The sequence below is a fragment of the Homo sapiens genome, chromosome 12, assembly GCF_000001405.40.
Source record: "Homo sapiens chromosome 12, GRCh38.p14 Primary Assembly".
Taxonomy (NCBI): domain Eukaryota; kingdom Metazoa; phylum Chordata; class Mammalia; order Primates; family Hominidae; genus Homo; species Homo sapiens.
This window is the reverse complement of record NC_000012.12, coordinates 70,785,196-70,798,320: the sequence shown is the minus strand read 5'-3', so window position 1 is coordinate 70,798,320 and position 13,125 is coordinate 70,785,196. Positions and strand designations below refer to the sequence as shown.

General features: G+C 35.6%; 1 protein-coding gene across 4 annotated transcripts in view; it reads left to right on the top strand.

Moving 5' to 3' along the window:
* PTPRR (protein tyrosine phosphatase receptor type R) overlaps window positions 1–13,125 on the top strand; it is a 282,666-nt gene that overhangs the window by 122,418 nt on the left and 147,123 nt on the right. Inside the window, exon 1 of one of the 4 annotated variants that reach the window (NM_001207015.2) lies at window positions 9,401–9,505. The exons of the other annotated variants lie outside the window; for them this stretch is intronic. Within the exon in view, the coding sequence (NP_001193944.1) occupies window positions 9,485–9,505 (21 nt within the window). The 5' untranslated portion in view covers window positions 9,401–9,484. Of the gene's footprint in view, window positions 1–9,400; window positions 9,506–13,125 lie in introns of those variants that run through there. 4 annotated transcript variants of the gene reach the window in all.

Genomic DNA, 13,125 nt, shown 5'->3' with positions numbered 1-13,125 from the left:
ATAGATGACAGTAGTTGAATTTGGTGCTGACAGTGGAGACAGATAAAAATGGGAAGATTTTATTGTATATTTGGAAGCAGAACTAACATATCTGAGGATGGAGTGGGTGTGGTGAGGGAAGAACATGATTCACAGGTACTTCCCAGGTTTTTACTTGTATAATTGAATGATTAGTAGTTCCACTTACTAAAATGGGAATGTTAGAATAACAGGTTTAAAAATAATCAGTATCTCAATTTTGGGCACCTTGAATTTGAGATTCCTTTCAGACATCTCAATCGAGATATCAGGTAGTAGTTAAATATAAAAGTCTATGGAACTCAGAGGAAAGACTTTGGCTGAAGACAGAGACATTTGGAAAATATCAGCACATAGAATGTGTAAAACATGGGACTGAATAAAATTTCCTAGGGAAAGAGTATAAAAAATAGAAAGAGTAGAAATAGAAAGTGTCCAGGCAGGAACCCTAAGCATCATCAGCATTAAGAAGTTGAGTAGAAGAAGAGGAGCCAGTGAAGGAGATGAGAAAGAACACCACTGGCATTGGAGAAAACCCAGGAATATATGATGCCACAGAAGCTAAGAGAAGAAAGTTTCAAGAAGACAAGAGTACTCAATGGTGCCAAAATGATCCTGAGAACTAGATAAGGACACACAGTGTCTATTGGAAGTGGCAGTTTGGAGGTCATTGGTGAGACCATTGACATGATTGGTTTCTTTCCATTGTTGAGATAATGTCAGATGAGAGTGATTGAAGAGCAGAATAGAGATGATGATGAGGCAGAAACTGTAGATGATTTGCTTGAAAATACTTTATGTGGAAACAAAGAAATGGGCCAATGGGTAGAGAGAGATGTGGAATCTATGAAGGTTTAATTTTCAAGGTAGCTTATATATATTTATAAGCTTGTAGGAGTAACCCAGTAGTGAAGGAGAAACTGATGATGTAGAAAATGAAAAGGGAAGAAAATTCTTGAGAACACAGTTGGGGATGGGAGCATAATTGGAGGGATTTTGCCTTTGATAAGAGAAGAAAAGAGCTTTCACAGGACTGTGAGGGCAGAGATGAGGCCTTCATAACTACTGTATGCCCAACATTCCTTGGCATATATTAGAAACTCAAATATTTGTTGAGTGAATCAAGTAAACATTCATTTCAAGCCAGGGAAACAAAACAAGCAGTATATCCAAAGAGAGAGCTTGAAAGAGCAAAGCATAGTCAAAAGCAAAGAGAAGGATACGACTTATCCATACTCCTTCATCAGTTATTGCTTATTTTATAATGTGTTTAGACAATTTTTTTTAGACAGAGTCTCGCTCTGTCACCCAGGCTGGAGTACAGTGGTGCAGTCTCGGCTCACAGCAACCTCTGCCTCCTAGGTTCGAGGGATTCTCCTGCCTCAGCCTCCTGAGTAGTTGGGATTACAGGTGCACGCCACCATGCCCGGCTAATTTAGTGGAGACAGGGTTTCATCATGTTGGTCAGGCTGGTCTCGAACTCCTGACCTGATAATCCACCTGCCTCAGCCTCCCAAAGTGCTGGGATTACAGGCGTGAGCCACCATGCCCGGCCTTAGTTAAATTTTTTTTTTAAATCACACCGGATTTTTTTTTAATATACATATACAGCCACTGTGGCATTTCATTAATTTCCTTTTCATGGTTTACTTTATGTCTATTGTGATCCCCTAAAAACGTAAATTCTCAATGGAAGAGATGTGTTTTCTACCTTGGTAATTCATTTTGAGATACAGGGCAGGGATCTAATACATTTGTTGAGAAGCATGTAATTTTCCTTAGCTTCCATGATTATCTTTAGCACTGATAAAAGTACTGATTATGTTAAACCAAAACACATATTTATAAATCACATATCTATTTTGTCTTAAAGGTGCTAATTGGCACTTGGTAAGATTTAATTCACAGTCATAGAGTCAATGTTTGTTTACAAGGCTAGGGAAACTATAATGTTAAAAAAAAGTGTATATTCTGATGAGGGACACATAAACTCATTTTACTCACTTTTATTGTGCCTATGTCAGGGTAGTCAAATGAAATGGAAGACAGATTATCTGTTATTAAAAATCTGCTAAATACGGCCAGGCATGGCGGCTCATGCCTATAATCCCAGCACTTTGGGAGGCCAAGGCAGGTGGATCACCTGAGGTCAGGAGTTCAAGACCAGCCTGCCCAACATAGTGAAACCCCGTCTCTACTAAAAATATAAAGATTAGTCGGGCTTCATGGCAAGCACCTGTAGTCCCAGCTACTCAGCAGGCTGAGGCAGGAGAATCACTTGAACCCTGGAGGCAGAAGTTGCAGTGAACCGAGATCGCACCACTGCACTCCAGCCTGGGTCACAGGGCAAGACTCTGTGTCAAAAAAAAAAAAAAAAAAAAAAAAAAAATCTACTAAATACATTTTGAACATATAGGACCCAATAAAATGTTTCTGACAGTTTGTTATTTAGCAATTGCCTTCCTCAAAACACATGACAGTGAGCAGTACTCCAAAATCAACACCGTAAAGTATGCACATCAAATAAGATGCATTTGGTAACCAAACATATTTAAGATTTTTGTTTACTTTTTGTATCAAGAATGATTCTAACAATGACAATAAATCTTAAAATTTTGCCGCTGGCTTTGGGGTAAAGAGAATAATAAATTTTGAGGTACTCATATATTTCTCTAGTTTGTGATACAAATAGAAATGATATTTATACAAACTCTAATGGACTGTATAAATAATAAATGATGTGGCTATATTTTTATCATGGTAATAAAAAGTCAAAAATAATATACTCAGAAGAATTCTTATGAGTTAATAACAAACAGTGAATTTATTCTCACACATTCAGTGGATGAGGATTTATCTTATTTTAGAGTTACTATGAAATTTTCATTTGTGGCTTTCTGGAAAATCATCAAAGGTTGATCACATTTCTTATTATTCTGTTTTGAAGCTATTCCAACATCCTATTTACTTGAACTTGCTTGAGTCTTCAAAGAATATTACAGTTATATTTAGAAAGAATGTCACCTTAGGAAATAGGAGATGTAATTTAATATAAGTTGGGTGTGTAACAAAAGAGCCCCTGAGAAAGGGTCATTTGAACTGAGACCTTTTGAGAATTTTGAGAAATAGTAAGCCAGGTGAAAAATGACAAGGAGAATATGTTAGAGTATGTGGCATCCCAAAAGGATTTTAAAAAAATATATATTGCCTTAGCCATACTAGCATGGCAATAAGACTTGCATTATAACAGAGATTATAATCTCCCTACCCTCTCTCTTACCACACCTCTACACATCAACTATCACTAGATCTCTAGCCCTTCTCAACTGTCCCACCCTGAATCTCTAGAAGACATCCACTTGCTGTCATAAGAAGGGTTCTTTTAGTTTTGCATGACATATGCAGAAGTGAAGTTTTCTGCTCTTACTCTCCGGGTCACCTTCTATGGGGTCTCCTGTGCATAGGAAATTGCCATAGTTGTTGGCAGTGGTAGTATCTGCCTGTGGCTATGTCAAGGTTTCCAGGATTGATCCTGATGTCATTGATATCTGCACCAAGGACACTGTTCTCTGATTGCTGCTGGGGTTCAAGGTCCTGTGTCATTGAGGACCCATGTGTATTGATCAGCTGTCGGAGGCCCTCTGGGCTGAAGCTCTGCACTAAATACCACCAAAGGAAAGGGAGTCTTCTCTCGTGTCTTTTCCTCCATTTGTGTGTGTTCGTTAGTTATATATTTGCCCAAAATGTCGTAAAGGCTTCGTTTGGTTTTGTTTTATTTCAAGCTTCATTTCCCCAGAGTTCTGACACAAGTTTTGATCTACATTCCTCTTCCCTCCCCTCCATTTCACTCCAGTTTATTGTCCTTAAATTCCTCTTTTGAGACCTAGCCCTCATGTCACTTAGGACAAATTCCATTCCAAGAAGTTCTTTAGTCATTCATGTAAATAGACACATCACTATTTCTAGCTCATAGGCCTTCTGGTTATGCCAGATTTTCCTGAATCCCCAGGTGGACACACCATTATTTCTAGCAATGGCCATTCTCATATTAGGTCTGTATTTTTGGCAACTGAGTTAAGCAACAAACACCTTTTACAAAATATATTTATAATGTGATTACATGTACATTTTTAAAATTTCACATATGATTCCAGAATTTTCATCTGTTGTCTATGGGGGGGATTCTAGAGACAAAGTATCTGGCTTAACTAGCTACCATCTTCTCCCTCATTTCTTCAAACCTTGTTAAATAGTTCATTAGTAAAGAAATGTGGTTAGCTTGTGGTATATGAGGGAACTTCAAAAAGTTCATGGAAAATGGAATTAAAAGATAAAAATAAGAAATATAAACCTTATTTCTCAACATAAGCTCCATTTTGAGTTCAAGACACTTTGGTAGACAATGATACCAGCCATTTAGTCCATCCCTAAAGAACTGAGGGTCCTGGGAATTTAACTATGTCAATACAGTATTTTTTACATTATTAACTGAAGAAAAATTTGTGCCCTTGAAATATATTTTAAGATTAGGCAACCAAAATAAGTGAGAAGGAGCCAAATCAGAACTGTAAGTTGGATGCCTAATGATTTCCTATCAAACCTCTCACAAAATTACCCTCGTTTGATGGAAGAATGAGCAGGAACATTGTTGTGGTGAAGAAGGGCTCTCTGGTGAAGCTTTCCCAGGTGTTTTTCTAGTAATGCTTTGGCTAACTTTCTCACAACACTCTCATAATAGGTAGATGTCATTGTTCTCTGGCCCTCCAGAAAGTCAACAAACAAAATGTCTCGAGCATCCCAAAAGACTGTTGCCATGACTTTCACTCTTGACTGATCTACTTTTGCTTTGACTGGACCACTTCCACCTCTTGGTAGCCATTGTTTTGATTATGCTTTGTCTCTAAGATTGTACAAGATTAAAAATGATAAAGCCATGTTTAATCTCCTGTTACAATTCTTCATATAAATGCTTCAGGATTCTGATCCCACGTATTTAGAATTTCCATTGAAAACTCTGCTCTGATCTGAGCATGATTCTGATTCCCAGCATGTTGAAACTTTGCTCAACTTTAATTTTTCAGTCAGAATTGTGTAACCTGAACCAATTGAGATGTCAATAGTATTTGCTATTGTTTCTGCTGTTAATCATTGTCCCTCTTCAATTAGGGCACAAATAAGATAAAAATTTTCCTTGCAAATTGATATGATGATCTGTACTGCAGGCTTCACATTCAACATTGTCTCATCCCTTCTTAAAACGAGTTATCCATTGGTAAACTGCTGATCTCTTTGGTACATTGTCTCAATAAACTTTTAGTAGATCATTAATGATTTCACTATTCTATCCAAACTTCACCATAAATTTGGTTTTTGTCTTTCCTTAAATGGAAAGAATTCTGCTAAAATTCTTCAATTTTGGAAGAATTAATGTTGCTCTGACAGGGGCTCTTTTCAAACTGATATCTCATTATTCTTAGTGCCTCAAAGTAGATCCTGTTCAGACATGTTACAACAAGTTCATTTGAGTTTACTTTGTGCAAAAAAAATTTAAATTGATGCATCTTTTTTCATAATATGCATTTTCCATGAAGATTTTGAAGACCTCTCATATAACAGAAGTCAGCATGGGTACAAAATTTAGTGTTTTTCTTAATACCTATCCCCTATATGAGAATTTGAAAATTATTTGAAACTTAAAGGTTTTAAACTATCTTTAAAATAATTACATCTTATTGTCCATATTTTTAAAATAAGCTAATTGCAAGATATAAGTTTGAAATTTACATCACTTATGAGATGCCACTATTAGTAAATTATGACATAGATACAAGATATGACAGAAAAGTTCACCAAGAGACAACCATACTAAGCAGAATGGGTCCAACCTTTACTTGTCACCTGAAGAGTAGCCACATGACATAGTTGAAAAATTAAATATGGGGTAAGAAGGCCTAATTCTGCCATTTATTAGTTGTCATTTAACCATTTTGAATTTCATCGCTGAAAATCTCTGCCCAACTTAATAATAACAAAACTATCTTATGGTAACATTTATTGAGTACATATTAGGTTCCAGGCAACACCCTACACATCTTAGAAGCTTTCTCAATCAATCCCCTTAACAACCTCTGACGTAGTAGACCATTATCTTCTCTTTCAGATGAAGAAACTGACCTTGTGAGAGGTTAAGTAACTAGCCCAGGTTTATCCAGCTGAGTTGAAGAGTTATGCTTCAGACCCAGTCTGACTTTGAATCATAGCACTTAACTGGTGTGCTATACCTAATGGGAGATGATGTCCAAATGTGGGGAGTGGTATTAACTCTGAAATCACTGTGTTTTTTTTCCTCTGAGATATGTGGTTGAAGCAAGTCGTTTCTCAAAAATAGCCACTGCATTCTCTGTAACTGTCAACCACAATCATTTTCCAGATACACATGGTAATTTTGTATTTTAAAAATATCTGAAATCAGCTCAACAAAATATTTTATTCAAATTCCATCACCCACAACTATTTTACATTTTTTTGTATCTTAAAAAACCATTACATCTTATAGACTTTAACATATTTATGTAGTTGTAATTACCATATACATATATTTGCATTATGTTTATTTTACCTAATATTATAGACCTGCTTTATTCATTCATCCAAAAGATATTTATTGAGTTTCTGCCATAAGCCAAGCATTATTTAGGCTCTGTGGATCATCAGTAAGCAAAACAGTCAAAATCCTTGCTTTTTTGAAGCATACCTTCTAATAGGAACAGAATATAATACATCAATGATGAGAAGTGCTAAGGAAAAAAATAATAAAGCAAGGTAAGCAGGCAGACGGTGACAGGAAACGTGGTATTCTAAAAGAGTCTGATTAGTGGAGGCATCTCTGAAAAGGTAATGTTTCAGTAGAGACCTGAATGAAGGGAGGGAGTTAGCCCTGCATATATCTCAGAGGATTTCTAACAGTGAGACAGTTTTTAAAAAGGCTCTGAGGCTGGCGGGGGCTTGGTGTGTTTGAAAAGCAGCAAGGAGACTAGAATAAATGAAGTGGAAGTCAAAGAAGAGTGGTGGAAGATGGGGAGGTGCTATTAGAGAGATCAAATAGGACCATGTCAGATTCTAATTTTATTCTGAATGAGTTAGAAGCCTCCAGAGGGTTTTTTAAAAAGTACTGACATGATCTAATTTATGGTTTCAAAAATTACTCCAGGTTTTTGCAGAAAATAAACAATAAAAGCAGAGTGGAAGCAGGGAGAACTGCTTTGGCAGTGGCTTTGGTCCATGATAGATGTGGCTTTGGCCCATGATAGATGTGGAGGTGGTAGAAGTGGTCTTGTTCTGAATATTGTTGATAGGTAATGCTAACTGGTTTTACCAACTCTGGAGGGTGAGAGAAAGAAGGGAGACAAGAATGATGGCTGGTTTTTTTGTTTTTGTTTTTGTTTTTTGTCTCTTGTTTTTGAGATGGAGTCTCCTTCTGTCACCCAGGCTGGAATGCGGTGGTGCTATCTTGGCTCACTGCAACCTCCGCTTCCTGGGATGGCTGGTTTTTTAACCTGAGCACATGAAAGATTGAAGTTGCTAGTTACGGAAAGGAAGAGAATTGACAGAGAAACAGATGTAGGGTAGAGGTGAGTAGAGTAGGAATCAGGAGTTCAGTGTGGACAAGATCCAGTTGGTTATTTAAGGGGGTATGTCAAGGATGCAATTGGATGCATGAGTCTTGAGTTCTAAGGGAGAGATCCTGCTAAATTTCAGACTATAGAGGAAAAGAAGAGACTAAGAATTGAGCATTGGGCTGTCCATTGTATAGAGGTGAGGAAGATGAGGACAAATAAGCAAAGGGAACTTGAAAAGGAATGGCCAATGAGAAGAAAAACTAAGAAAGTGTGGCACCCTGGAAGCCTAGGCAGGAAAGGGTATCAGGGCAGAGGAAGGAATCATTTGTGTTAAGAAGGAAGATCAACAGGAGGAATATTAAGGATTGAACATTGGATGTAGCAATCCTGGTTTAGTTTAACAGGAGCTGATACAGGGAGAATGGGAGGTGGAAAGCGTTATTAGAAACAATAAATATGGGCAACTCTTTTGAGACCTTTGTTTATAAAGGAGATTAAAAAAAGGAATGGTAGCTGAATAACAGGATATTTGGATTTGTTCAGCTTTTGTTTTAATATGAGAAATATTATAACACATTTGAATATAAATTAGAAAAATCTAGTAGAAAGGGTGAACTAATGATGCAGGAATGAGAGGGAGAATTAGACAACAATTATCTCCTGTTGATGTAACATTATCCTTTTTACTGTTGATGTTCATTTAAGTTGCTTCTGATTTTTTACTATTATGTTGCAAAGAAAATATTTGTGCCTACTTATTTTTTATTCGTTGAGATCATTTTCTTAAGATAAATTTGCAGATGGGGAATTACTGGATTAAAGATTATGAACATTTTTAATACCCTTAACACTGCCCTATTGCCTTAAAATCAATTCCATGTGGCCAGTAATGTATAAATGATTGTTTTATTGTAACCTTCCTAGAGTTATGCCATATAACTTGAGTCCATAATTCATGGAATTCCTAGTGTTTCAACTACCCTTTTTCTATCAGACTATTAGCTTCTAAAAGACAGAGATAATGTCTTAATTTTTTTGTTGCCATCTATTTTTAGACAAAATATTTCTCTAATAATAATAATTACAACAGTTATCTGAAATCCCTCAGGGTTCAATCATAATGGTATGCATATGGTATGGTAAGAAAAAAAAAGTCATCAGTTTTGGAATCAGACCAGCTAATATTTGAATCCCAGATTAGTTACTTTGCCTCTGATTGAGTCACTTTAATTTGCCAATCAATATAAAAATTAATAATAACCCTTGTTTCTAAGTCATGCTGACTGCTAAAATAAGATATCTATAAAGACCCTAGCACCAAGTAAGAAAATTTTGGTGGAAATAGTGGAACTTTGAAAAGAAATTTATGTTTATTATGAAACTAGCTTATGAGTATTTAATATTTTTATTTTATTTTATTATTATTATACTTTAAGTTTTAGGGTACATGTGCACAACATGCAGGTTTGTTACATATGTATACATGTGCCATGTTGGTCAGGAAGATAAAAACATTCCTCATGCAACACACCTTGTCCACAGCCCATAAAGTTCTCATCTTACAGTTTTGCTAATTCCCATGGAAAAAAAAAATCCCCATGAATTTCAATTCTAGTAAACTGTTGAAACAGCAAGCACCTGGGATATCTCTTGGGAAAGCACAGGCTGCTGCAGTAGACCTGGGATCCGCAGTGTCTCTAGAAACAGTACCAGGCGGTTACCTCCAGGTGACTAAATGAGGCTTCATCTCAGCACACAAGCTTAGAAAGCTTTACGATTAGTCCTGCTTGCTATGGTAAGGAAATAACACAAAGAAGAGTGCAAATGGAAGTCGACTTCATCACAACATGCAGTCAATTTCCAAACAGGTGAGATAATCTCTCATGATAGGCAGAGGGTCCTCGGTGTAATGTTAAGAGCTTAGGAGGGTAAATATTAAGATTTATGTCTATATCTGTTCATGTAAATGTAGAAAAATGAGTCAGCATAGAACTTATGTGATATCTAGGGAAATATCTTTAGCCTAAAAGTCTGAAATTAAAAGAAAATGCTATGCAGTCATTCAAAATATCTTAACAGTAAATATCTACCATAATCATAAGGAGTTTCTTGTAAAGTTCATAATCATCCTAAGGAGAGTAGAATTATAAATATGTTCACTTGAACAGAACTCAAAAGTTCTTAAAAGACATTGAGTGGAGCAGATATTTTCTTTGTTTTGTTTAGTGTGGTTCCCACACTGACATCAGGGAAAAGATGACTACAACTAGAAACGAAAATTGAGAGAGGGTTACAGTGGGTTAATTCACTAAATCTAGACATTTTTATAATAATGACATCTCGGATACCCTGTGTTTGTGTGCAGACTTCACTAAAAGACTAGTCAGTATCTTCTGTTATAATTGCATGTAGGGTCCAGTGAGTGAAAGTCAGTGCTATGAGACATCATCAGCTAAATTCCCAGCTGGGGAACTCAGCTTTGTTGTTTTTTATCAGTAAACCAAGAACCTTACTCTTTAATGTTGGCTTAAATATGGCTCTTATTTAAAATGATGTATAAATTTATTAATCTGTATAGAAAGTGCTATCCTGAGGTGAAAAACCTCGCCCAATGTTTATTCCACTTAACTTTATTTCAAAAAGTATGTATTTAGTTTCCACTGTGTTCTAGGCATTGTACGAAGTTCTGGACAACAAAGATTAAAAATAAGAATTTAGTTTCAATATTTAAAAACAATATAATGGTTCTAGTGTTGGTACAAAGTCATAGATAATTTTAATTTTATCTGTGGTCCTTGATGATGAATAACAATGTCAAAAAATAATGCATCTGGTGTTTACATCCATCTTAATAATAAAATTGGATTAACTTTCTGTCTGATTCAATATTGCAGAAAACAGTCATCAAGATGGCCCAAATAAATTATTTGATTCAAGAAGTCAAGCTCTGTTTCCCACAAAATATAGGGCTGCCAGATTTGATGTTATTTTTTTAAGTGCAACTCTGGTGTGAGACATGAGCAGGTAATAATGCCAAATGATGGCTTGGCAAGAATTTCCAGCAGGATTTAGGGCTCAGCAGCAAGATTTTAGACTAAAGGGAAAGGAAAGTTTTTTTAGTGATTTTCTTGTAATGTTTATTGCTTATATAGCTTTTAATATGAGGAGGACTAACCTGTTTAAATCTTTCATTTAAAAGAAATTAAGCTTTAAAGAAGATGTGGCTTCTTAGCCTTGTACACTAAAATACCTTGCCCTACAGCATTCATACTCTTCAAGTTAATTTTAAAAATTGCTATTGCGAATTACTCAGTTGATAATTGATGCTGGATTGTGTTGTATCAAATTAGCCATGTCTATATTTGGCTGTCACAAAAAGGAATAAGCTATAAATAGTTTCCCTTGTTTTTCTGATCAATATATATACTTCTAACAGTTAATAATTAGATCAGACATAGTGCAGTCCTAATAAATACCAGGACCTCAATCTTCCTAAAAGAAAAAGAAGACTCTTATTGTGGTAATTGAGAAGTAATAACAGGATGAAATAGGCAGAGTCATGTTGTGCATCAAAGTTATGCTGCAGACAACATCACTCAGAATCTTTCTTTTCTAGAAATGAGACAGTTCTCAAGGTGCTAATCACTAAAATAACACATTGTGGAAAATTATATGCTTATTGTTATTTTTCCATATCCTTCTTCAGTTGAAAGAACCACAAAAACACTAGCTAAAACTTATTCCACACTCTGCCTTTATTCATTTTAACCATGCAGAAAATTATTAATTCCCCCATGACAGAAAAAATCAGGATTACTAAGAAAAAAGTTGAAAGACATTAAATCATAGAGTTTTTATTTGCATGTTAAAACCACATGCCAATAAACCTCATTTCATTTTACCGTGTTTCTTGGAGAATTGTATAGTTCACCAGAAAAGTGAAAACACAGAATCCCATTACAGCCATTGAAGTGAAACATAAACTACTTCATGGAGGGAATAAAAATGAAAGGAAATGTATAACACACTTCCACGGAGCATTAGACTTCAAACTACTCTTGTGATCAGACTGATGTTTCAGAGCTTGTGTGGTCTCTGTGCCCCTTCAGAGCTTAAGCTTTTGCATGTGATCAGTTGAAAGTCCCAAAAGAGTCTATTCCTATTGATTGAATATAAGCACATAAAAGGTACCCATCTCCTTATTTCACCCACATCTGAAATAAAGCTCCAATGACCTGTAAGGACTTTTAATTTCTTAATTTTTTTAAAAAAGAGTAGTATTTATATATTCAATGGCTCAGGAAAGTATCAGTTTATGACTAGAATGCAAAGTCGTTGGGGGCTGAAGGATTATTATTTTGCCCATGGATATCTACTTCTAAGCATCCCTAAAAGCCTCTTCGAAGTAATCATGGTCTCAATTCTTACTGAACACTGTAGTGAGAAGTCTCTGTCCTTTCAGAAAAGCTCCATGAATGAAGAGGTCAGGGCTGTGATGATTAGAGTTTTGTTATTTTGATAGGGCTGGATGTAGAAACCTGAATTTGTCTGACCTCGTTTTTCAGACATTTGCCTGAGTGTTGAGCTTTTGGCCACACAGGGTTTCTGCCTGACCCTGATTCCAGTCATTTTCAACTCAAGCTTTGGCTGCTGGGTTCTGCCATCAGCATGAGAAATACTGAAGGAAGGGGAGGGGAGGCTGAAAGAGAACAAGGAACAAGAATAACTGGGAAAAATAACATCCCAATAAAAGATAGAAAACATAATCAGGGGAGTGGAAGGTGGAAAGTTCTGTTGACTCAAACATATAATAATGAGAATTGAAAACTCTGTTAAAAACAAGTAACTTGCTATTATGTTTGTTTACTGTACCCAGGATAATATCTATTTGTGGTTAAATCGTGATTTTTCTCCTGTCTCTGAGGAACTTTGCGTTAAATCTGTTTTCTTCTATTTCATCCATAGACCTGTCTGTAACTTTTATAAAAATATTTTTACAAGCATAAATGGACATGAAGTCACAAAGCATAGAAATGATACTATCATAAAAAGTATATAGAGTATTATTTTATATTTTATGGAAGCTTTATCTCCTCCAGTGAATTTGTACTTGGAAGAGTGGAGACCTTCACCATTTCATAATTTTTAAAAACAGCTTATAAGGATAGGGGCTTACTCAAAATTGTATAGAATTTAAAGTTTCCAGAACAATATACAAAAGTTCTTCATGTAATTTCTAAATTTTAGGTCTCTGCACATGAAAGAAAAGTTTTTATCACAAGAATGTTATTAGGGGATGTGAAAGGGGACACTAATTAAGAGGTAATATTAAAATAGAGGGCAGAGACTAATGAAGGAAAAACTAGGTTATAAAAAGCATTTCAAATGAGTAGGATAAGAGATTCTATTCTAAATCATTAAATTTGGCTTTGTTTCAATATTAATATTTAATTGGTAGTGGTAAAAATGAAGAAAAGAAAGATGAATA